The sequence below is a fragment of the Homo sapiens genome, chromosome 7 (genome assembly GCF_000001405.40).
Source record: "Homo sapiens chromosome 7, GRCh38.p14 Primary Assembly".
In the NCBI taxonomy this organism is placed as follows: domain Eukaryota; kingdom Metazoa; phylum Chordata; class Mammalia; order Primates; family Hominidae; genus Homo; species Homo sapiens.
Window position 1 is genome coordinate 143,181,216 of NC_000007.14, and position 27,161 is coordinate 143,208,376.

At 37.5% G+C, this 27,161-nt stretch overlaps 1 protein-coding gene and 1 long non-coding RNA gene across 2 annotated transcripts, besides 1 other annotated feature; one reads left to right on the forward strand and one right to left on the reverse strand.

The window, feature by feature from the left end:
- The first annotated feature begins 2,203 nt into the window (after positions 1-2,203).
- On the forward strand, positions 2,204-3,220 carry TAS2R39 (taste 2 receptor member 39). Its single transcript, NM_176881.2, has one exon. The coding sequence runs from the start codon at positions 2,204-2,206 to the stop codon at positions 3,218-3,220; it is 1,017 nt and encodes a 338-aa protein (NP_795362.2).
- Positions 17,935-18,094: an enhancer, noted in NCBI's record as "active region_26790". NCBI's record gives its function as "activates an Ori minimal core promoter by ATAC-STARR-seq in GM12878 lymphoblastoid cells {active_cell/tissue: GM12878}" and the evidence as "EXISTENCE:reporter gene assay evidence [ECO:0000049][PMID:35858748]".
- On the reverse strand, positions 20,841-25,499 carry LOC124901764 (uncharacterized). Its single transcript, XR_007060567.1, has 2 exons — positions 21,961-25,499; positions 20,841-21,212 (listed from the first exon to the last, which is right to left on the reverse strand). It is a non-coding gene; the product is annotated as an uncharacterized LOC124901764 (long non-coding RNA).
- Between the last annotated feature and the right edge of the window lie 1,662 nt (positions 25,500-27,161).

The window sequence follows — 27,161 nt, forward strand, 5'->3', positions numbered from 1 at the left end:
AATGGGTCCAGCAAACCACATGGCACATGTATACATATGTAACAAACCTGCACGTTGTGCACATGTACCCTAGAACTTAAAGTATAATAAATAAAAAAAAGAAAAAGAAAAGATCATCTTTTCACCCAGAAAGGTTATTTCATCCCCCCTCAGATCGCCCCTGGAAATTTCCATGAACAAAACTCTTTCCATTGCAGGAAGCACCTCTTTCATAAGCTGTGGCAAGCAGAGCATCTTCTGAAATGCCTTTGGTGATGTCTGTGGTCCCAGCTCCTGCCCACAGCCTCTGCAGCACCCTACACTGTGAAGCCAGACCCTGTCTGAGCTCTTTCTCATCTGGCTGCTCTGTCTCTGCTTCCCCTTCCTTTGTTCCCCTCTGTCACCCACCAGTGTTTCTTACACAGATGTTCTCTACAGTCTGCTGTGTTCTCACTGAACCTCACTGTTTATGCTCTGACACTTGATTTAGGCATAGGACCTGCAGATTTTCAAATTTGAGGAGACGTGGAACTGCCATTCCTCCTCATGTCTCTCATAAAGAGCTTCTCTGAGCTGAAGGTCTTCACTAAGGCCATATATCAACCCAGCAAGTATCTATGTACTGCCTCCTGGGTGTCTGGCATGGGCTAGGGGCTCAGAGTGGGATACATGGATAAACAAATCAAATGAGGAAAGACGCAACAGCCTCTGAAGGGACCATGTCCTGTTTCTCCTCCCACTCTTGGAAGCCTGGATCAGCAGAAGTAGGGGAAAGCCAGTGGCAAGAAAAATCCTCTTTAAAACCAAACTGGAGGTCCTGAGATACTCCAGGCCTACTTGTGCAAATGGGTAGAAACAAGCAGAGAGGAGCAGTTGTCTATTACGCTGTATTCAAGGGAAATATTTGTTCAGGAATAGTGATTTTCAAATGAGATGGTAAAATTCGTAACAACTCATCTAAAATCATTAATCAAGCCAGAAAACGTTTATGAGTTCTTGCCTTGTTTTTAAAAGGCTTTAAGTAAAAACCAAATGTTATAAAGATTTTCTGAGACTTCTCACCCACCAACTTTCTCTTTATTAGAATTATTACTTCATCATTATTTTAAAGTTACATACATTCATAAAAATTAATTTACCCTGAAATGAAAAGTCCATTTTATCATTATGTGTCCTATGCTTGCGTTTTAAAATCAGAAAAAAATTCCTTAAGATAAAAGTGATTCTTTTTTCCTTTCTTTTTGTTTTAATATTCCAAAATTGGATGAATTGGGACATTGCTTTTATTCTCAGGTTCGCTAGCTTACCTTGCTAGGAACTAGGGAGTTTTACCTTCAACTCTTATTTTCCTAGTTTTGCTTAAAATGAAAGGTGAATATGTGTGTGTGTGTGTGTGTGTGTATGATCTTTTATGTATAATTAAATTTATTACCTCTCAAGTAATCTACTTTGAAAAGAGAGTCCTATCTCTTAAAAATCAGTGTCTTCTTGCTTTATTGATTTTTCTTTAGAGGGTGGGGACATAAAAGGCTACCAGGAAAAAAATGTCATAGTGGAATCAACCCTGCATTTAGTCTTGGGCACACAAAAGAATCCACAGGTCTAGGTAGCATAACATGGTGGATAAGAGGAGGAACTCTGCGACCAGGTGACTTGGGTTTGAATCCCAGTTCTATCACGCTCTAGTTGTGTGATGTTGGCCAAGTTATTTAACCTCTGTATGCCTTAGTTTCTTCATCTGCAAAATGGAGGTAATAGAAGCACATGCTCATAAGGTTGTTGTGAGGTTTAAATGTAGTAATTATAAATAAATCATTTGAAAATTTCTTAGCACAAAATGAGAAGTGCGTGTGTGTGTGTGTATGTGTGTAGCAGTTTTTATTTTCAATCATTTTCTGCAGTCACAAGTGAAAGTAAGTTAAATGATGACTCAGTTAACCAATGTTCAAATTAACTGATGCTACCAAAGAACACGGACCTCAGTACCATGTTAGCTGCTTTTAAAGAGTCTACTCAAGCGCTTCCCTGGGCCTCATTATTGAACCACTACCAACATGTTCAAAAATAGAGAGAGGATTAGAAACCAAATCCTTCCAACATTTGCATCTCTAGATGTAGAGCTAAGAATTCTGAAATAAACAAATGCAGTGAATTTGGAAATGATACATCAATTGCTTCCTCCTATGACATCAATACTGGGAGTTATCAAGAGTCTGCCCATCAAATGCTAGGGAGATGTTTTCCTCCAGACACCAAAGAGAAGCAACAGCTCAGAATGACTAAACTCTGCGATCCTGCAGAAAGTGAATTGTCGCCATTTCTCATCACCTTAATTTTAGCAGTTTTACTTGCTGAATACCTCATTGGTATCATTGCAAATGGTTTCATCATGGCTATACATGCAGCTGAATGGGTTCAAAATAAGGCAGTTTCCACAAGTGGCAGGATCCTGGTTTTCCTGAGTGTATCCAGAATAGCTCTCCAAAGCCTCATGATGTTAGAAATTACCATCAGCTCAACCTCCCTAAGTTTTTATTCTGAAGACGCTGTATATTATGCATTCAAAATAAGTTTTATATTCTTAAATTTTTGTAGCCTGTGGTTTGCTGCCTGGCTCAGTTTCTTCTACTTTGTGAAGATTGCCAATTTCTCCTACCCCCTTTTCCTCAAACTGAGGTGGAGAATTACTGGATTGATACCCTGGCTTCTGTGGCTGTCCGTGTTTATTTCCTTCAGTCACAGCATGTTCTGCATCAACATCTGCACTGTGTATTGTAACAATTCTTTCCCTATCCACTCCTCCAACTCCACTAAGAAAACATACTTGTCTGAGATCAATGTGGTCGGTCTGGCTTTTTTCTTTAACCTGGGGATTGTGACTCCTCTGATCATGTTCATCCTGACAGCCACCCTGCTGATCCTCTCTCTCAAGAGACACACCCTACACATGGGAAGCAATGCCACAGGGTCCAACGACCCCAGCATGGAGGCTCACATGGGGGCCATCAAAGCTATCAGCTACTTTCTCATTCTCTACATTTTCAATGCAGTTGCTCTGTTTATCTACCTGTCCAACATGTTTGACATCAACAGTCTGTGGAATAATTTGTGCCAGATCATCATGGCTGCCTACCCTGCCAGCCACTCAATTCTACTGATTCAAGATAACCCTGGGCTGAGAAGAGCCTGGAAGCGGCTTCAGCTTCGACTTCATCTTTACCCAAAAGAGTGGACTCTGTGACCAGCACCCAAGAAGACCACAGGACCTGGCCTTACCAGCTCTGCCATTCCCTCACCTAGACCTCTCTTTTCTCTCTTCTTTTCTTCTCCAACCCTCATCTGACCCTTTTCGCCTGATGTGGCTTTTTATATAGGAAATTGATCATTTCTTTTTTGCTTCATGGGTACAATCTTAGTGGTACTGTCATATTCTTTACCTGAGCCCTCTACCTCCCCTTGCTCTGTTTAAAGCAGTGATTCTAAGCACTGGCTACCCATTAGAATCTCTAGGTTGATTTTTGAAAATACCAATGTTCAAACCCAATCTCAGATCTATTAAGTCAGAATTTCTAGTGTTAGAACTCACACAATTTTCTAAGATCTCCAGGTGATTCTGCTGTGCAGCAGGGTTGTATAGCCACCAAAATAGAAGAATGTTCTGAAACTAGTTCCTGACAACTCTCTTTCTCCCTCCACATGCCTTTTAAACACATTTAGATAACTTGGGAAGTTTTCTGAGCAGAAGTTTGAAATGCATTTTGTCTCCATCTTTCAAAGATATAACCAAAATAATGTGGAACTATTTATCAAAATTAATAATGCATAAAACACCTTTCATCCTAAAAATTACTAAGAATTTTTTCTAAGCATGGTTTTGTATAAATAAGCAAAAATATGTGCAAGAGGCTCTTCACAGCTGCACTGTTCATGAATGACGGGAATTGAATGTCTGAAATGAATATTATGTTAACCTTTTTTAAATGAGATAGATGCATGCTTCCTGAGATGAAAAGATTTCCAATACACAGTGCAAAAAGCAAGGAGATATTTTATGATTCCATCTGTATTTCTTTTTTTCATAATACTTATATATTTGTATGTATATATATGTACATGCAAAGTTTCTGGACAAATATACCAAAAATAATTCACAGAGGGCTTCTGAGTGGTGTCACTGGGTATCTGGGGAATAAATGAAATATTTACCGTTTATTTTATGCCTTTATGCATTGTTTGAATTACTTAGAACATGTATTCACTAATTTTAAAATTTTAAAAGATTTATATTGATTTTTATTAGAAAGAGAATTGGTAAGTAAAAAAGATTTGAGAGAAAGGATAGTGCACATTATTTTGTTGATTGGCTCTCTCACTATTGGGTTTTATTAAAAATGCAAACAAATCACAAATTAAACATCACAGGCTTTCAATCCATTGACACCTCTATATTCTCTGTCCCTCTATCAGGCCTGTCCTCTCTTCCTTTCATATTCAATTTGGATTACTGGTCAATCATTATACTCACCCTTCAAAAATAGCTTCAATATTTACAGATGAAATGAGCTGTATCTGTGATTTGCTTTGAATTAATCCAACATAGGACAAAGGAGTAGAGAACGGGGTGGTTTGGGTTATTCTTATGCTAATGTTTTTTTAAACAAGGCTTCAGGCATGTGGAGTTCTTTCTACTATTCTATTTCAGAATATGTTTGAGAATTTCCCTAATATAGCTTTTATATAAATAAATCATACAATATTCTAAATTCCTGACCCTTCTAAATGTGAAATAATCCCACATTTAAATGACTATTTAACATTCTGTGTTTGCTTCTAAGCAGCTGAGTGTTACTTGAGAGTATTTCAGAACTGGATGAGTTCATGTTCCTACAAATTCATGCTATTCAGCCTCAAACGAGTAACTTCATTGAGCATTTCCATCCCATATTTCCCTAGAGAAGTCACTCATTAAAGTCCCCACAATGACTATCTCACATCTTTTTCTCAGTCTCCAAACCTTCAGCCTCTCTTCTCCCTGACCCATTTCAGCCCTTAAAGTCTTTGTCAGGCAACATTTGAAGGACAATCCTCTTTTTCCCATTAGTGAATCTACTAATCCACCAATTTCTGCCTATATCCCCAATATTCAATAGAAAGGGTGCCAGTCAATGAAAAAAAATCATTAGACATGTTTTAACTATGTTCTACTCCCTCTATATTTTTTCCTCCTCCAAGTTTCATTTTTCTATGTGTTTCAGTTTGTTTTCTCTCGTGATCGAGTCTTTCCTTAAACATCCGATGATCCTTGAATGTCAGCGCTAAAAAGTCGACTGCCAAATTTTAAAAATTCATTTTAAAATATCTTTTAGAATATAAAAACTATGTTGAAACATCTATGTGAGTGGTCGCTCAAAAGTAGAACATGCAAACTTGGATTCTTAATTTTCCCCTTGAAACACATTTCCTTTTCAGTTTTCTCCAACTCATTAAATAGTGCCACATTATTTCCACTGGTGAAGTCAGAATGCTAGGAACCACCATGGATGTGTCTTCTGTCTTACTCACTTCATGCAACTCATCAGTAAGTCCCATGTTTCTGTCCTGTGACGTGTATAAGTAGAGGATCATTCAGTTATTAGTTGAACAAGTATTGGCTGAACACCAACTATATGGCATATTCTATTCCAGTTGCTATGTATACAATGAACAGGGCTCTTGTCATCATGGATCTTCTAGTCTAGTGGGAAAGCATTGGTAATAAAACCTAGAATGAATAGCACATCATGGTGGTGGTGTTAGATCAGCCCAGTCAGGAAAGGCCTAAATGAGTAAATAAGATATAAAGAGGTAATTGTTAAAAATATAAATCTAGGCCAGGCGCCGTGGCTCACGCCTGTAATCCCAGCACTTTGGGAGGCTGAGGCGGGTGGATCACGAGGTCAGGGGTTCGAGACCAGCCTGGCCAACATGGTGAAACCCTGTCTCTACTAAAAATACAAAAATTAGCCAGGCGTGGTGGTGGGTGCCTGTAATCCCAGCTACTCAGGAGGCTGAGGCAGGAGAATCGCTTGAAACCAGAAGGCAGAGGTTGCAGTGAGCGAAGATCACACCACTACACTCCAGCCTAGGCAAAAGAGCAAAACTCCATCTCAGAAAAAAAAAAAAAAAAATATATATATATATATATATATATATATATATATATATATATATATATATATAAATCTAGATAGAGGAATAAGTTCTAGAGTAGCACTGTAGGGTGACTTATAGTTAACAATAATTTACTGTGTATTTTCAAATTGCTAGAAGAGAGGATTTTGAATGTTTCCAACACAAAGAAATGTTTGAAGTGATAGATATGCAGATTACTCAGATTTGATCATCCCACATGGTATACATGTACCCAAATATCACTGGGTCCTATTAATATGTACAATTACTACATGTTAACTAAAAATAAAACAAAATTATAAAAATAAAAAATTATAAATATAAACCAAACATTTAGGATAATTACGAAATAAATCTAAGGAAATCAGAACATATTAAATATTGATTTGATAAATAAAATATAAAAAAGTTAAAACGGATACAAAACTGGTTCATTGAAAAGAGGCAGTAAAATTGGCATCATTAGCTTACATAATCAAGAAAGAAAAAAGGCATAAATACACAAAATAAGACATGAAAGAAAAATAACTACAAATCAGAGAAATTGCAGTACTTTTAAGAAACTATTTTGTTTAACTCTATGCTAGAGTTTGAAAACGTAGATAAGATAGATGTTCCTAGAAAAATATAATTTACTAAAATTGACTTCAAGAAAATCTAAGCAGAATAATCATCACAGTTGAGCTAGAGAAAGTTGTGAAGAGCCACTCCTCAAATAATGCTGGCACCAGATGTTCACAAGGGAATTCTATCAACTTTTTAAAAGCAAATAATATGAAGTCTATGTAAATTGTTTCACAGCACAAAAGTTAAAGGAAGCTTCCAAATTTGTTTTGTGAAATAAATATAATTTAGATATCAAAACCTAACAAAAATTGTCTCCCAGAAAACTACAAATAAACCTCACCTCACTTATCAGTGTTTATACAAAAATACTAAATAAGATTTAGTATTAAATTTAAATCTAGAATACAGGTTTATTTCATAAAAGTAAAGATGGTTTAATATTAGAAAACATATCAATATAATTAACCATATTAATAATACTAAAGAGACAAATCATATAATAATGTTAAGTGCTGAAAAATAAAATTCAAGAACCATTCCTAATTATTAAAAAATCTTACAATAAAAATAGATGATTTCCTAACATGATAAAATATATCTATCTCTTAATAGCTAGCAAGCATCATTCTTTTTTTTTTTTTTAGACGGAGTCTCACTCTGTTGTCCAGGCTGGAGTGCAGTGCGATGGCACAGTCTTGGCTCACTGCAAACCTCTGTCTCCCAGGTTCAAGCAATTCTCCTGCCTCAGCCTCCCAAGTGGCTGGGATTACAGACATGAACCACCGTGCCTGGCTAATTTAACAGCTAGCATCATTCTTAATGAGAAAACATTATTATTTCCATTAAATTCAGGTAAAAAGACAAAGATGTTTACCCTCACCCTATTAACTGATGTTAACCCTAGATAAGTATCCAGTACAACTAGAAGAAGTGAAATTAATTTAAAGGATTTTAAAAAATTGGAAGTTTCCTGGTGGAGTATCTTATCTGCAGATGGTTATATAAATAAAAAACCCAAGAGAAGCAACTAAAATATTATTCTAAATAACAAAAGCATGAAATATGGAAGGAAAAAAATAAACAGCAACAAAAAATAAGATACTAGAGCAATAAAGTTAACAAAAAATGAGCACGACTGAAACAGGAAATTTTCCCTGACCCCTTCATAGGCCTCACAAAGGGAGTTGCTCGTTTATTCAGCCTGCAGCTCTCAAATCCTTTGTAGGAGGGGAGGCATGCAGGTGAGTGGGTGCAGGGACCAGGAGGAGTTCTGGATGCCGGCAGGAGCAGAACTCCTTGCGGCCCCACAGCAGCATCCAGCGGGGTACCCATGACCCCTGGAGCCCCAGAGGGCATGTGTTACTGTGCTCTTATAGCTTTGCTATCCATGTACGGCTTTAGTGTTTAACAGCTCAGTGTGATAGCCCTCTGTATCTCAAGCTCTTGTTGGGCATCCAGGAAGAATCAGGTCGCAGGAACAAACTGAACATGGTAAATGCAGGGGATTTTATTGCTGATAAAAGTGGTTCTCAGTGGGATGAAGGGCTTGGAAGTGGATAGAGCAGGAAGGGGGTCTTCCTCTGGAGTTAGGCCATCTCTTCTCCAAGGTCCAGCTATCAAGCCGACCCTCTGAAGTCAAGCTGCTTCTTGCCAATGTTAAGCTGCTTTTTCTCTTCTCTCCTCTGATGCTCTGCTGCTAGTGGAGCCTGGGGTTTTTATGGGCACAGGATGTGGGGGGCGGGGGTGGAGCAGGCCAGGGTAATTTGGAAGAGGCAACATTTAAGCGGGAAAACAGAAATGCATGTTCTCACTTTGGGCTGTGAGTCCAGGCTTGAGGGTGGGGCTTCAAGAAGGACCCGCCCTTTTCTACCTAATATTTCGCTGCCTCCTGTCCATATCACAATCTATATGAAGACTACTTTTAAATGCTTCAGATATACACACAGAAGACTTGAACAGGAGAAAGGCTACCATGCTATTGAGTGGAAAATGTCAATGTCATCAGATACAACATTTCCCTAAATGAATCTACATTTACTGTAATTTGACACAAATGCCAAAAATTTTTTAGACAGATAATAAACATAATCTGGAAAAAATGAAGCAAGAATGGCCAGAAACATTCTGAAAATGAAAAAGTAATGAGGGAGGACTAACCCCATGAAATAACACACATGTTATGAAGCTGAAAAACACAAAATAGTGTGACAGTGGAAATCAATACTCAATAAAACAGAGTAGACATCCAGAAAAATGAGAATTTAGTATATGGTAAAAGTGGTATTAGTAAAGGAATAATGGATTATTCAATAAATTATGTTAGAACAACTAGCTAGCAAAGTGGAAAAAAATTTTGGATGTCTCTCTCACATCTTATACTAGGCCAAATAAATCAAATAATTCATGTTTTTATTTAAAAAAGGAACTATTAAATATTAGAAGAAATTTTGGAGATTTCAAAGTTAATTTTAGAGTTGAGAAGACCCTTCTAACCATGATAAGTGAAAAAACAAGCATAAAATGATTTATTTAATCTGGTTACATAAAGTAAAAAGATACTACATGGCAAAAACTACCTAAGCAAAGTCAAAGACAAACAAGAAACTGGGAAATAATATTTGCCACTCACATTCCAGATAAAGATTAATTTTCTGAATATATTAAGAGCTCATACAAATCAATAAGAACAATTACTGAAGTTAAAAATTGGCAAAGGATATGAACTGATAGTTAGAGAAAATGAAATAAAGGTGGCTTTTAAGAAATTAAAAGCTTATAAAATGTGAAAAGGTATTTAAAAATTAAAATTAAAAATCATCCATTATCCTTCAACCCAGAGACAACTTTTAAAGCGTGTGTGTCTGTGTGTGTGTGTGTGTGTGTGTGTGTGTGTGTGTAGTTTAACAAAACTGGGTTCATACTAAAGTTTTTGTAATCTTTTGTTTTCATATAACATTTAGATGATTTTTCCAATTCATTAAGTTGCTTTCAGAAGTTTGTTTAAAAAATTTAAAGGATGCTCAGCCTGATTTACTACAAGAGAAATAGAAATAAGAACTACTCTGAGATGTACTTTTTCACCTATCAGATTAACAAAGATCAAAAAGTTTGAAAACACACTGTGCTGATGATCATAGGGACCAGGTGAGCTCATAAATGATGGAAGTGTTAATTGCTACTGCCTCAAGTACAGTTTAGTAATAGCTATGAAAATCATGGTGGTACATACATTCACTCAAGAATTTTACATGAGCGAAACAAGAATACATATACTTGAACACATAAAAGATAACATATGTACACAGGTTACATGTTACAGCATTGTTTATAATAGAAAAAATAGGAAAATCATAGGATATCATCAATACAAATTGATATCAATACAAAGGTTCAGTGTAAGAAGCTATAGAAAGAAAATATTAAAAGAGGCACAAGAAAGAGAAAGATAGAAAGAGAAAGGAACCAAATGTATTTATGTGTTTGGAATGGCTTCCAAATGTATTATTAGGCGCAAAAAAAAAGCAATGCATTTAATATACTATCATTTGCATTCAATACTGTTGTTAAAAATAATTAAATACATGTGTGCTTGCATATACACTAATTTTCTCTGGAAGAATACAATAAGAAATTAATAATATTGTTTTCTTAAAATAGAGTTAGAAAATGGGAATTTTTTTTTCTGAGACAGTCTTGCTCTGTTGCCCAGGCTGGAGTGCAGTGGCATGATCTCAGCTCACTGTAACCTCCTCCACCTCCTGGGTTCAAGCAATTCTCCTGCCTCAGCCTCCCAAGTAGCTGGGACTACAGGCACCTGCTACCACGCCTGGCTAATTTTTGTATTTTCAGTAGAGATGGTGTTTCACCATGTTGGCCAGGCTGGTCTCAAACTCCTGACCTCGTGATCTGCCCGCCTTGGCCTCCCAAAGTGCTGGGATTACAGGCGTGAACCACCGCGCCTGGCCCGGAAATATTTATTTATGTTTTCTTCCACAGATGTAAATTATGGACTGGGAGACAAGAAGCAGGAAGAAGACTTTTTACTGTATACATTTTGTATCTTCTGAATTTTCAATGATATTACCATATAATCTATTCAAGAAATGAATACATAGAAAATCTGAGCTGTTTTGTCATAAAGACATACCCAAGACTGGGTAACTTGTAAAGGAAAGAGGTTTAATTGACTCACAGTTCCATATGGCTGTGAGGCCTCACAATCATGGTGGAAGAGCAAGGGACATCTTACATGGCGACAGGCAAGAGAGAGCCTGTGCAGGGGATCTCACCTTTATAAAACCATCAGATCTCGTGAGACTTATTCACTATCACGAGAACAGCACGGGAAAGACCTATCTCCATGATTCAATTACCTCCCACTGGGTCCCTCCCATGACACAAGGGAATTGTGGGAGCTACAATTCAAGATGAGATTTGGGTGGCGATACAGCCAAACCATATCAGTGCTACTAAATCTTGAGAATTTAGTCACACCTATTATAATGCTAACAACACCCACTGCCATCCTGTGTGTTTCTAGAACTTTGTTTTGTTTCAGCCACAAACATTTTTTTCGTATCTGGTCAAGAATTGTATACACTATGCAATGGTGAGTCTCAGGCAGCCAGGAGTACTCTCAATGTGTGCTAACTTGAATTAAGGGAGGACATATTTCTGCGGCCCAATAAATTTAAGAAATGCTCTCTTGAGCCCCAGTAAACAGGTTTCTATATAATAAACAAAATGTTGCTAATTCACCATCAGCATTGGAATGATAAACCCTAGCAAGCTGACCCTTTCATTTCTATTATACGTGTGATAACATAAAATCTCCCATATCACCAGCCATTTAGCAGAAAGAATTTCTCCTACTTGGCACTAGACCAAGAGTAACAACCTACAGTTGGGTTGAAAAGGCCAGATAGAGGTACCTGTAAAAAAAAAGACTAAAGACAAACTGAAAACAAAATGCTGAGGAAACAGTAATTAAGAAAGTGCTCTGAGAAGAAAATTAGGTTGAATCTTAGAGAAAATTGAATTAACAACAAAAGTAGCAGCAACAACAACCAAATAACCACAGAGCAGAAAGTGTCTACAAGCAAGGAATGGTAACAGTAGTTAAATTCAAGTTAAAGTTCTAAGTCTCTGCCATCTACTCTGTTTATTCTTGAGCAAAAAACTAACCTATGCAAATCTTAATTCTCTCATCTATAAAATGAGGAGGATAATAATGCTGATCTCACAGGAGGGTCCTGAACAATAATTAAAATAATATATATATAGCAAATGGCTGATACAAGCTGGCCGTACCTGTTATTGAAAGCAGCTGTATCGGGGTAACAACTAATGTTGAATCACCAGTCTCCAGAACTTGACCTATGATAAATTTTCCAAACAAAACTTATTTTACCCTCTATTCCCCTCTGCAAAGTACTAGGTGGAACTCTTCTGAAATAGAGGCACTATTTCTTTTTTCTCTTCAGGAAATTGCAGTGATTCTTCTTAAGGGTCTCATTTTCTGAACTTTAATGTCCATGGACTTCTAAGAGGAGATAAATAAAAGCAAAAGAGCAAAAGGCAAGAACAATCCTGAAACTCTCAAGTCAAGAAACAGATGCTACAGATCGTTTTAATCAATTCTGGGTAGGTTCTGGGCATCAGGCTTCTGACTTGGAGTGGAAAGGGCCCCAGAAGGTAGACCTTCCTAAAAGGAAAAAGGTGAATGGAACTGCCCCCATTTCTAAACTAATCTCTAAGACAGTCTGTAAACATGGACACCTGTTGGGGGTCCTCACTGGACCAGTGACTTATCTGTGTTAGCCATTGTTCCTCAGATCCACCATCCTTAAAAGCTAACAACAAGTAATAAGACATTTTGTTGACACCCTTTCACAGCCTTCCAGGAAGAAACATGTCTGTTCCAGGTGTGTTAGACAAACAACATTATTATCTTTCATTTGATCCCTAGTGAGGATTTTGTTGTTGTTTAAAAAAATAAAGTATTTGGTATTCAAATAATGGCATGCTTCCTTGTACATTAACAAAATGGATTTTGAATAATATACTGGATGCAGAGGAAACAGGTAAGTGTACTTTGTAAATGCTTTTTCCTGTCTCATCATTCTCAGGGGCTGAAAACATTAAGTCAACAACTGTCAAAACATTGCCACAGACAGCTGGAAGTAGAGCATTAAAGCCATCGAAAACCACCTGGGAGAAAATATTTATGGGAAATGATGAGATTTCTTAGCAAGCAGCTCCCAATCATTTTAGTAACAGGTAATTTGGTGAAAACATGTCACATGTCACAATTGTTTGCTACTACTTTCTCGTAATGTTGAGAGGTTTTATTTTCTTGTGAAATAGCCTGATGAGTAGAAAGTTAAAATTGTCATAACTCAAATTCTCATGTAAGGCCTTTTTAAAAAATGGATTGGGAAGACTTACAAAAACATAATAATATTACTCATTTTTAAATCTTCTCCCTAAAAAAATACAGAAGCAAAATTGGTTGTTTCAAAATGATGAAACTTTCAAAATTATTATTATCAAAGTAATACTGGTTTCTGGGGGAAAAAATTAAACGCTAAAAAAGGTGTTTTGTGAAAAGCAGCAGTCTCCTGTCTCACCCCAATTAACATTTCCAAAAGCAACATTTCTATCAATTTCTGGCATTAGTTTTTGTGGTGGTTACTCTCACAATTCCAAATACATACACATATACATGTATGTGTATTTTTTGTCCATTTGTAAATAATATTCATTGACATATCACTATAAAAAGTGGGAATTTCTTTTTCTGGCTGGGTGCTGTGGCTCACACCTGTAATCTCAACATTTTGGGAGGCCGAGGCGGGAGGATTCTTTGAGGCCAGGAGTTTGATACTAGCCTGGGCAACATAGCGAGATCCCACCTCTATATTTTCTTTTTAAGTGAGAATCTGAATGTCACTTACATTACTCTCAAACTATTGACCCTGTCCTCTTCTAAAATTTTGAGTTGTATTACTATTTTCAGCTCTTGTTTTCATTGCCTTTAAATTGTTAAGTGATAATTTTAAGTTTTCATTTCTATTCAAGTATTTATACTCAATGCCCATAAAATGCACTTTATAAAAAGAGTATATTAGCTCTCTACCCTTCCTTCAAACACCTTCCCTTTTCCACCTTATAACTTCTGAAAGCAATATGTTCCTTCTGAATTGTCATATGCTTTTCTATAACTATAGTTCAGTCTTCTATGCTTTATTTATAAGTTGATTTAAATATGGAAAACCAATAAATAGCATTTCTAATATTGTGGCTAAATATTGTTCAACTCAAATAGAAAACTGTTTCCCATTAAGGTCAATGACACAATCCATAGACCCAAATCAAAGGAGAATATTTCCACAATAAAAGTCAAATGTGTTTTATAGTTTTCTGTGTACAAGTCCTTCAACTTCTTTTATAAGTTTATTCCTAAGTATTTCATTATTTTTGATGTGATAATTTTTGACAGTTTTTTAAAATTTCATTATCAGATAGGTCATTTTTGGTGCAAATAAACAGTACTGATTTTGTATATTGGCTTTGTATCTTGCAACTGTACTGAATTTGCTTGTTCGTTCTAACAGATTTTTGTAGTCTTTAGACTTTTCTACATATAGGATTATATCATCTGCACACAGAGATAGTTTTATTTCTTCCTTTCCAAATTGGATGCCCTTTATTTCTTTCTCTTGCCTAATTGCTCTAGGAAAGACTTCTAATACTATGTTGAATAGCAGAGGCAAGAGTGGGCAACCTTGCCTTGATCTTGACAGGAATAGCTGTCAGCTTTGAGCTATGAGCTTATCATGTGATATATGGCCTTTATTATGTTGGGGCAAATTCTTTTTATACATAATTTGTTGAAAGTTTTCATCATGAAAGAGTGTTGAATTTTGTCAAATGTTTTTCTGCATTGGCTATGATGATGATATAACTTTTATTCTACATTCTGTTAATGTAATGTATACATTTATTGATTTGCATAGGTTGAGCTATCCTCGCATCCCAACAATAAATCCCAGTTGATCATGGTGTTTTCAATGTGCTACTGACTTCATTTTGCAGTATTTTGTTCTGGATTTTTGCATGTATGTTCATCAGGGATATTGGCCTGTAGTTTTCTTTTCTTATGGTGTCTTTGGTTTTAATATCAGGATAATGCTGACCTCATAAAATTAGTTTAGTACTGTTTCTTCTTCTATTTTTTAGAAGAGTTTTTAAAGGATTTTGTTTATCTTATCATTTTTATCTTTTCAAAAAACAAACTCTTAATTTCATTAAGTTGTTTTAAAATATTTTCTATTTTATTTATTCCATCTCTAATCTTATTATTTCTTTCCTTTTATTAACTCTAGTAAAAACTTAGTTTAGGGCTTAGTTTGTTCTTCTTTTTCTAGTTCCCTGAAGGGTAAATTTAGGTTTTTAATCTGAGATTTTTTTTTTAATGTAGATGTTTATCACTGTAAACTTCTCTCCTGCTGCTTTTACTGCATCCCATAAGTTTTAGTATGCTGTCTTTCCATTTTATTTGTCTCAAAGTAGTTTTTTTAATTTTCCTTTCGATTTATTCTTTGAAACATTGATGAAAGAAATTGAAAAAGTCACAAATAAATGAAAAGACATTTCTTCATGTTCATGGACTGGAATAATTAATGTTGTCAAAATGTCCACAATATCCAAAGTGATCTACAGATTCAATGTAATCCCATCAAAATTGCAATGGCATTTTTATAGAAATAGAAAAAAATCTAAAATTTACGTGGAACCATAAGATGCCCCTAGTAGCCAAAGCAGTCTTGAGCAAGAAGGAAAAAAACAGAAGGAATCACACTTTCTGATTTCAAAATATATTAAAAAGCTATAGAAATCAAAACAATATGGCAGTGGCATAAAAACATACATATCAACCAGTGGAACAGAATGAAGTTCCCAGAAATGAATCCACGCATTTACAGTAAACTTATTTTTGACAAGAAGGGCAAGAATATACAATCAGGAAAGGATAGTATCTTCTTCAGTAAATGGTGTCAGAAAACTAGATACCCACATACAGTAAATAAAATTTGACCTTTATCATACACCATACCAAAAAAATCAACTTAAAATAGGTTAAAGATCTAAATGTAAGACCTGAAACAATAAAATTCAAAAAAAAAAAAAAGAAAGGCAAACCTTCTTGACGTTAGCCTTGACAATGATTTTTTGGATATGACACCAAAAGAATAGGCAACAAAAGAAAAATAGACAAATGACATTATATCAAATTAAAAACTGCACAAAAAAGAAAACAATCAGCAAAAGGGACAAGGCAACCTATTGAATAGAAGAAAATATTTGCAAAAGATATAGTTGATAAAAGACTAATATCCAAAACATAAGGAAGTCCTACAACTCAATAGCAAAATAGTAGCCTGATTCAAAAATGGGCAAAAGATTTGAATATACATTTCTTAAAACATCCAAATGGCCAAAAGGCATATGAAAAGGCGCTCAACATCACTAATCATCAGGAAAATGTAAATAACAATGATATATCACGTTAGAATGGCTGTTATCAAAAAAGAAAAAGTAGCAAATGTTGGTAGGATGTGGAGAAAATGAAACTCTTGTAGACTGTTGGTGGGAATGTAAATTTCTACAGTCACTATATGGAAAAAAAGTATAGTTGGTGGAAATGTAAATTGGTACAGACACTATGGAATAAGATCCCAAAAAATTAAAAATAGAACTACCGTATGATCCAGCAATCCTACTTCTTGATATATATCCAAAAGAAATGAAATCACTATCTCTATGAAGTATCTGCACTCTCATGTTCATTGCAGCATTATCCATAACAGCCAATACTGAAAACAACCTAAGTGTCAATTGACGGATAAATGGATAAAGAAAATGCAGTATTTATCCGTGTGTGTATATATAATATATATATGTATGTATGTATATATGCATACCACACACATACACTCACACTCAGTGGAATATTATTCAGCCTTATAATGAAGGAAATCCTATGACAGGCAACAAAATGGATGAAACTTGAGGATATTATGCTAAGTGATGTAAGCCAGACACAGAAGAACAAATACTACATGATCCCACTTATATTAGAAATCTAAAACAGTCAAACCCATGGAAGCAGAGAGTAGAGTAGTGGTTACTAAGGACTGAAGGAAGGAAGAATTGAGAAAATTTGCGTCAAAAAGTACAAAGTCTCAGTTATACAAGATGAGTAAGTCTTAGAGATCTGCTGTGTAGCACAGTGCATATAGTTAACAATCCTGTATTGTATACTACTTTCAAACTTGTTAAAAGGGAAAGTCTTATGTTAAATATCCTTATCACAAAAAAGGAGGGAAAAAACTTTTAGAGGTGACAGTTATGTTTATGGCATTGTTTATGGTGATGGTTTACATAGGTATATACTTGTCTTCAAACTCATCAATATATATACATTAAATATATACACCTTTTAGTATGTCAGTCACACCTCCAATTTTTAAAATCGAATGCATTTTATTTTCTTATTATCCATCATTGACTCAGTAGCATTCAAGAGGTTGGGTTTGTAATAATTCTACTCAGTTGCTTTATTTTACGTTGTTTGGATCCCTCCTCCAAAAAATATACACATATGTTTTACTGTCTCCTCATAGTAACTCAGCTTTGTAATCACACTACTACCAAGTAGATGTAATCCACTTTTTTTGCTCCAGGAGCACCGTTTTCAAAGCCCTTTATCCTCTTATTTCAGTCTCAACAATTGTGCCCTAATCCTGATTCACATTTGGAAATTCCTTCGCTGAATGTCTGAATTATATCCATTAACTATTTTCTAGATCTCATATCTTACCCTTCATTTATTTTCTCACTTTCTTACTGGAACACATCCTTAAGTAATTCCCTCAGAAAAGTGACCTGAGAACGTAAACTCTCTCAGTCCTTGAAAGTTTATAATATTTTTATTTTGCCCTCATTCTTGATTGGTAGTTTTGTTGAGTATATAATTTAGGTCTAAAATAATCTCCCTTAAGAACTTAAAATACATTTCATTATCTTCTAAGATTCCTTGTGTATTAGTCCATTCTCATGCTGCTATGAAGAAATACCTGAGACTGAGTAATTTATAAAGAAAAGAAGTTTAGTTAACTCACAGTTCCACATGGCTGGGGAGACCTCTGGAAACTTATAATCACGGTGGAAAGCACCCCTTCATAGGTCAGCAGGAGAGAGAATGAGTGCAAGCAGGGAAAATGCTAGACGCTTACAAAATCATCAGAGCTCATGAGACTCACTCACTGTCACGGGAACAGCATGAGGGAAACTACCCCCATGATCTAATCATTTCCCACCAGGTCCCTCCCATGACACATGGGGATTATGTGAACTACAATTCAAGATGAGATTTCGGTGGGGACACAGAGCCAAACCATATCACCTTGTTACAAATTGTTAATCTGAAAGCAATGTGTCTTTTTCATTTGTACATTTTCACATTCTTTTTCTCTAGAAGTTTTTAGGGTCTTCTCTTTATTTTTGGTGATTCACTAGTATTGTACAACTTCATATAACAGAAATCTAGCTACAGTGACCATATAATGACTAATATTTTTAATGTAACATGAAGTCTAGAGGCTGGACAAAATGCTCCACGCAGTCATGAAGGACCTAGGATCCCTCCTGTCCTACCACTCTTTTCTTGTCGCTTACTCTCTCGTTCATTGTCACAGATGGCTTCTCCACAATGAGGCATCACATTTTTTTTTCCACACAGGCTCACCCTCTGCCACCCAAGTTGGAGTGCAGTGGCATGATCTTGGCTCACTGCAGCCTCCACCTCCTGGCTCAAGCAATTCTCCTGCCTCAGCCTCCCAAGTAGCTGGGACTACAGGGATATGCCACCACGCCCGGCTAATTTTTGTATTTTTAGTAGAGACAGGGTTTTGCCATGTTGCCCAGGTTGGTCTTAAACTCCTGGGCTCAAGAGATCTGCCCACCTCGGCCTCTCAAATGCTGGGATTACAGACATAAGCCACTGCACCCAGCCAAGGCATCGCATCTACATTTAGAAGTGATGGTTATGTTTATGGCATTGTTTATGGTGATGGTTTACATAGGTATATGCTTGTCTTCAAACTCATCAAGATATATACATTAAATATATACACCTTTTAGTATGTCAGTCATACCTCCAATTTTTAAAATCGAATGCATTTTATGCAGACAGGCAGAGCTGGGTCACATGGACACCCCTGCAAGGAACTCTGTGTGATAAATGATTTTTCATTGTGCACACTTCCACACTAAACAAAATTGATGTTTTTTTCAGGAGAAAGGGGAGAATGAACATGTCTTAGTAAATTTGTAGTGAATGTTCCACTTGATGAAAATTATGTAAGACCAACTCTGGGCTTACCAATTAAAATAACATGTTTTTTGTCGGCACTGAAATTTTTTCTTCTATTTAAAAAAAAAAATAATGTTTTTCCCTCCATTGTCTCTAACTTCACTACCTAAAACTTCTTTCAGTCAGATCTTAGACCTCCTGGGTTAAACAACTGTGTCTCTCATCTTTTCCTTTATCTTTTTCATGATTGAGTTTTGCTCTGAATTCTGAGAGATTACCTTGACTTCATCTTGTTTTTACTATAATCATATATTGCCTGGATGTAATTTTAAATCATACTTTAAATATCTGAAAGCCTGTTGTGTCTTTTTTACTTTGTTTTTAATTGGCATTTAACAATTATTCATATTTATGAGGTATAATGTGATATTTTAATACATGTATAAATTGTGTAATCATCAAATCAGGATATTTAATATATCTATCTCCTCATATAATTATCATTTCTTTACAGTGAGAACATTCAAAATTTTCCTATTTTGATGTTTGTTTTGTTTGTTTGTCTGTTTGTTGGTTTGTCTATTGCACAGGCTGTAGTGCAATGGTGAAATCTTGGCTCACTGCAACCTCTGCCTCCCGGGTTCAAGTAATTCTCTTGCCTCAGCCTCCCAGGTAGCTGGGATTACAGGCATGCATCACCACGCCTGGCTAACTTTTGTATTTTTTTAGTAGAGATGGGGTTTCACCACGTTGGTCAGACTGGTCTTGAACTGACCTCAGGTGATCCACCCTCCTTGGCCTCCCAAAGTGCTGGGATTACAGGCTTGAGCCACTGTGCCCCACCTTTCTAACTATTTTGAAATACACAACATTGTTAACTAACATAGTCACCCTACTGTGCAATAGAACACCAGAACTAATTCCTCCTATCTAACTGTAACTTTGTAGTCATTGACAAATCTCTCCCCATTTGCCCCCTAATCTCACTATCTTCCCCAGCCTCTGATAACCACTATCCTACTCTCTACTTCTATGAGATCAACTTTTTAAGATTCCACATATTGGTAAGATCATGCAGTATTTGTCTTTTTGTGCCTGGATTATTTCACTTAAAATAATGTTCTCTAGGTTTACCCATGTTGCCACAAATGATAGTACTACAATTTTTTTTTTTTTTGAGATAGAGTCTCACACTGTTGCCCAGGCTGGAGTGCAGTGGCACAATCTCGGCTCACTGTAACCTCTACCTCCTGGGTTCAAGCAATTCTCCTACCTCAGCCTCCCAAGTAGCTGGGATCACAGGCATGCACCACTACGCCGGGCTAATTTTTGTATTTTTAGTAGAGACAGGGTTTCACCATGTTGGCCAGGCTGGTCTCGAACTCCTGACCTCAGGCAATCTGCCCGCCTTGGCCGCCCAAAGTGCTGGGATTACAGGTGTGAGCCACTGTGCAGGCCGTATTCCAGTTATTTTTTATGTCTAAATAGTATTCCACTGTGTATATATAAAACACATTTTCTTTCTCTATTCACCCATTGGTGAACACATAGGTTGATCCCATATCTTGACTCTTGTAAACAGTGCTGCAATAAACATTGAGAGTTCAGATACCTCTCAGTGATTTCCTTTGGACATATACTCAGTAGTGGGGTTGCTGGATCATATGGCTAGTTCTATTTTTAACTGTTGAGGAATTTCCATACTGTTTTCCATAATGACTTACTAATTTACATTTTCACCTTCTCATTTCTTAATTGTTTATTTTTAATAGCATCCTTCTCTTATTTTATGGAGGCAATATCTTCTGTGCCTCCTCTAAGGACACAAGCTTAAATTTTTTGTCTTCTTTGATCTTTATTTCTTCAGGGGTAATTCACTCTTGGTGTTTAGCTTGGTCTTTCTCTTTCAGGCTGTGGATTTTGTTCCTATTTCTGATCATCCTTGATTAGTAATTCATGAAGGAAAAGGAAAGGCTGTTTTGGGTAAGCAGGTATCATTCTCCAGTAGAACGGTCTCCTGAATGGAAAGGCTGATTGGAAGCTCTCTTTTGTAACTGGGCCACCTTGACAGGCTGGCTCCTCTTTTAGGTATGTGGGTGTGGAATCTGACATTAGCCTGGAAATTCAAAATGCCATAATAAAAAAAGGGTTTAATCTATGTGCAAATATCTGCACTTGAAGCCCTAGTTCTTCCTTGGAAATGTATTCAATTTTTCTAGAAAAGAATTCTCAATATGAAGGTTTTCGATGGTTCTGTATGCAGTGGCAAGGAAGGCACTGGAAAGCATCAATGATGCAGCTATATGGCAGACAGAATTTTAATGATGCCTCTGGTTTTTGCACAATGTCTCGCTCCTGCTATCCAAAGCTAGGAATCCGATAGCCAAGGCCCTCCAGGCTTCTAGCAGCCTGATCAGCCACCACATTCCCAGAGGCCCATGACATGCATATTCTGAGCATCCTTTACTCCACTTCATCTACAATATGCTTTTTCTGATTGTCCACAACCAAGAAATAGGATGAAATCTCCAGTCTGCTCTTGGCCATCCTCATTCCCTTCTCTTTAGTGTTATGATATTTTTTTCTCTATGGAGTCTCAGAAGAAAGGGAAGTAGTGAACACATTATTTAAAAAATCAAATCAAAACCTTATACATACTTTTTTTTTATCATACAAGAACCTCTGGGTCTATTTCAGAAGCTTAATATTTGGTGCCCAAAATATTTTATCCTGGACAATCTTATATTGCACAAATCTTAATTCAGAGTCATAAAAGTCCCCCAAACTGGCTTTTTAAGCTGGTGCATAAACCCCATTGATGATAGTCTTATCCTATTTTTGTTTATGCTCATGTGCTTTCTCACCTGTTAAGAAACTTGCTAATTCTATTATGCGACTCTCTGGCAAAGCTTATCAAAGCTTCAAATTAATTAAGCAGTGGCAGCTCCCAATTTCCTTTTCTTACTGGCAAAAATTTGTTTCACAGAAAATGTTTAGAAAGCTTAAGTTGGTAACAGCTGATTGTTGACCTGGAAATAAGAGGTCTTCATCAATATGTTAAGCGGTCAGGATACTTAAAGAAAAACATCTATGGAGACTTCTTAGCATGCACTCTAGGCAAATACTTGCTGTCCTTCACCATTATTTCAGGATTTTTTTTTCCTAAAAGCATAAGAACAAACACATAAATGATAAAAGCAGAATTTAGGCCAACTCTAGCTTGCCTGCCAAGTAGGTAAGATGCGGTGGCAGAATACTGGCTACACTTGTGCCTGTATCACCATGGAGACCCTACTCTGACCATCAAATAATGGGATTCTAATGAGGAATGCTGCTGAACAACAAGCATGGCTGAGCACAAAGACAGAGCTGCTGGCATTGGAACATGGGAGTGAGCAAGAAAGGGGCAGCCCAAGGGAGAAGAAAAGGTGACACTGAACGTAGGTGTCGTGATGAGAAGAAAATAGGTTGCAGGTGGTGACTGCCTGGAGACCAGCCCAAATCACCTTCCACCTTTACGTGGAATCCAGGCTCAAAGCAGGAGGGACAAACTTGAGTGGGATAAATGTGACATGAAATGAGTCAGTTTGCCCAGAATATGTTTTTACCTATGAGGTGGATTGCATGGGATGGGGGAGGGGGGCTTGTAGGCAGGAGGGGCTGGGTCATGGAAATTAAATGAATTACTTTCCTAATGTGCATTGTTGTTTTTTTTTTTTTTTACACAATTGGTTCACAAAATAAAAAATTAATCCTTACTTTATGTATGAGCTCATCTGGGATTTTGAAATAGCCTCCTGATGCACATCTGTACTTAGACCAATTCTAAATCCTGGACTAGAATTTTGAGTAAAATCATCTCCAGGCAAGAGCCAGGACCAGTGAGAGCTGAGAGGCTCAAGAAGTGATGAGAATAGATTAGATGAACCCTCACTGCTGATATCAGAATTAGAAATGAATTATAACAAGGCTGAGTTTCAAAGAGAAATGCCCAGGATGGGGTCAGGATGCACCTTTCTCTCTCTCCATACAAGCTCTCCCTGAGGGGTCTCCTCTATTCTAAGTGCTCAGGTCCCCTCACAAGCCAATGGCTTCCAAACTTGTGTTTATCTCATCTCTTGCTCTTGATCTCCAGGCCTCTCTACCCACCAACAATCCCTTCTCCTATATATATATTTTTGGGCCCAAATTTTTGCTAAGTGAATTGTTCTGGCTCTAACTATCCTCTCCTTTGCAAATGAGAGGTCTTTCATTCTAAGAATTATCATGGGCCGGCATTTGTAGCTGACATTGAAAATAAACCTCCCCCCTCCCCAGAACTGCCTATAAGATGTGATTTTCTGAAAACCTGCAGGCCTTGGGAATGCAAATCAGAGAAAGATCCAATTGTCACCAACACTTACCAGGGAACACTGCCATTTGCATCTGCACTCCAGATCCCCGGTGGCTGCAAATATATCAGTGGCTCATTCAAACCAGAGCCCAGGCACAGATTGAAAGCTTGAGTGGAGGTGGATTTGGAAAGAGGAATGAAAAGGACACAGCTCTGGAAACTGGGGGGAATGAGCCCGTGTCACTGCCAAGATGGAAGGGTAGGCAGTGCATTCCCACATGTCTGACCCTAAGATTTCAAATTTCATTAGTAGCATCTCCTTTAGCTCAACCTAACTACAAGGAGAACGAGAAATACAAGGAAGTCCCTGCCATGTTTGGGGAGCATTTTTATCTCTGCCCCAGCATCTCCCATTTTCTGCTGAACTAAAAACCTTTCTCTTTCTCAAGATATGTGGAAAAGGAAAAGGAGAAATAAGGAATATCTCTTACTTTAGTCCTTCATTTTTCTAGCTTCCCAACTCTCCAACTCAGACTCTCGCTCTGACCCCCAAGTCAAATATGGCAGGTAGCACTGCCTTCTTTAGGGGTCTTCCAGATTATGCTACCACCACCACCACCACCACCACTCCACTTTTCAGAAACATGTGGGTTTCCACTTGTCAAAAATAAAACAACCCTCTTGATCATTATAGACTTGGGGTCTTGGCTAGAGAACAAATGAAAACAGAATTAAGAACAAAGAGGCGGGGCATGGTGGCTCAAGCCTGTAATCCCAGCACTTTTGGAGGCTGAAGCAGGTGGATCACGAGGTCAGGAGTTCGAGACCAGCCTGGCCAACATGGTGAAACCCCATCTCTACTGAAAATACAAAAATTAGCCAGGCGTGGTAATACTACTACTAATAATAATACTAATAATAACAAAGAAAAGCAAATAGTTAAGTATTTAAACATTTTGAATTCCATAAATATTGATCAAGGCCCAGTATATACCTAGACTCTTTACATTTAATATTCACTATACCCATCCAAGTTCCGGGCACCTTATAATGCACACATTTGCAAGCCACAGCCCAGCACAAAGGGCACTCCCTAAATGAGAGCAACCACAATCCCTCCTGAGAATCGCACGATGTAGAGATCCACCCTCTCTCCCTTTGAAAAAATACGACCATGGAACATAAGGCTGATCGCATCAAATATAGGAACAGAGGAGGGAGGACTCGCTGCTGGAGGGAGATAAAGCAAGTAGTCCCAATGCAGACAGTAAATGAAGGTGGCACAGGGTTCTCTGGCGTTTGTTGTATTGATGCGCCCAGCGAAAGGAAATTTGGCAGCTCTTTAGAGGTAATCTGCCTTACAAGGGACCGTGAGCTGACTGGCAAGCAACAGAGTTGCTATGCCATCATCATGGTCACATTTGTTACCCTCACTTGCGGAGGAAGAACAGTCACATTCCTCCCCACCGCAAACGTCCAAAGAGATCTGGCACCAAAGAAGACTTCCTGCTTTCCTGCCACAGCCCAAAGCCTCAGAGTCCCCCACAGATTTCACTTCCTCCATAACCTCAGATGCCATTGCTTGTAGTAAATCCATGTGATAGTGCACAGAAGCACACACACATACAGGGAGGTCTTCATTTCTTTCCTCCCTCTTTCCTTCCCTCATTCCTTCTCTTCCTTACCTCCTTCCTTTCTTTCCACTTTTCTCTCTTCCAACTTCCTTCCCTCAACCAATTTATTTATTGGTAGCCTAACACATGGACAGGCATATCTCTTTAATTTAGAAGATAAGACTTTACTACATGCAATTTAAAAGTAAAATGCACCTGTCCCCAAATAAACAGGGACAAATACATGGAGAGAGACAGAATTCAGCTTCAGTTGCATACTTCTGCCCACCACCTGAGCAAAACATACAGCTACACAGGTTCTTTCCTTTGTCAGATAATTCTAGCAACTTTTTGGCATGAAGATAGCATGCACCCACAGAGCTAAGTATATAAATGCTGTCTTACTTCCAATATCTGCAGTGAACCTGGAGTAGAGCTTTCACAATTCAATCCTATTTAGGACCTAGAGACAGGTTAATTCTGTTTAACTCTTATCACTCTTCCCTCCCTCCCACCCACCATGTCAGTCTCTTATGTGGCTCTTCTCTCTGGACCTGAAGCTCTGTTGAGGATTGAGCCCAGTTCTCCAGCTTTGCATTTCCCTCAGGCCCTATACTAATGTGGGAGGCACAAAATACCTATGTCTTATTGCATTATCTTCATGACCTGCTGCACTTTATCCTGAATATTCCATTCCATTCAAACAGATATTCCAACATCTTGTTCCCTTCATGTAACACACAACCATTTTTGGTGCTCCATAATCTTCTATCTCCCCAATGCCGTCCCCCCCGCAAAGAAAGAAAAAACAAAAACAAGCAAAAGACCCAAATCACTGTATCTCTTTTTATGGAAAAATTACAACCAGAATATATTTGCCACTTTTTAATTGATGACCTAAACAGGTAAACTCTGTAAAATATTTGCAGAGATTTATTCCGAGCCAAGTATGAGTGACCGTGGCCCATGACACAGCCCTCAGGAGATCCTGAGAACATATGCCCAAAGTGGACAGGCTACAACTTTGTTTTATACAGTTAGGGAGGCAAAAGACATCAATCACTAAAACTTAAAGTGTAATAAAAAAAAAAAAAGAAAAAAAAAAGACATCAATCAATATAAGATGTATATTGGCTCAGTCCAGAAAGGTGGGACAACTGGAAGGGGGTGCTTTCAGGTCATAGGCAAATTCAAAAATTTTCTGATGGACAATAGGTTGAGTTATTATCTACAGGCCTGGAATCAATAGAAAGAAATGTCTAGGTTACAATATGGGGTTGTGGAGACCAAGGTTTTATCATGCAGGTAAGCCTCCAGGTAGCAGGCTTCAGAGAGAATAGATTGTAAATGTTTCCTATCAGATGGAGAGTCTATTAGTCTTAAGGTCTGTGTTGATGTTAATACTGGTCAGTTGGGCCTGAATTCCAAAAGGAAGGAGGATGTAATGAGGCATGTCCGACTCCCCCTTTCTATCATGGCCTGAATGCGTTTTTCAGGTTAACTTCACAATGCTCTTGGCCAAGAGAAGGGGTCCATTCAGATGTTGGGGGGCCTGGAATTTTATTTTTGGTTTACAGAATTCTTAAAATGGTCTTCAAAATTATATATAAATAGGGCCGGGCACGGTGGCTCATGCCTGAAATCCCAGCACTTGGGGAGGCTGAGAAAGGCAGATCACTTGAGCTTAGGAGTTTGAGACTAGCCTGGACAACATGGCAAAACCTTGTCTCTACAAAAATTAGCCGGGCATGGTGGTGCCTGTGGTCCCAGCTACTCGGGAGGCTGAGGTGGGAGGATCACTTGAGCCCAGGAGGCGGAGGTTGCAGCGAGCTGTGATCACGCCACTGCACTCCAGCCTGGGTGAGAGAGCTAGAACCTGTCTCAAAAAAAAAAAGTATATATATATATATATATATATATATATACACACATATATATTTAAAAAACCAAAATTATATATAAATATATTTTTTAACCATATCACATGTAATAAAAAGCCATAAGTAATTCTGGTTTTAGATTAACAATTTCCACTCAAAGTTTTAGTGTTTGAGTAACCTGTCCTACTATGTTCCTGGATCCCAGAAAAGTGAAGGACTCAGGATGAAGGCTCACCCAG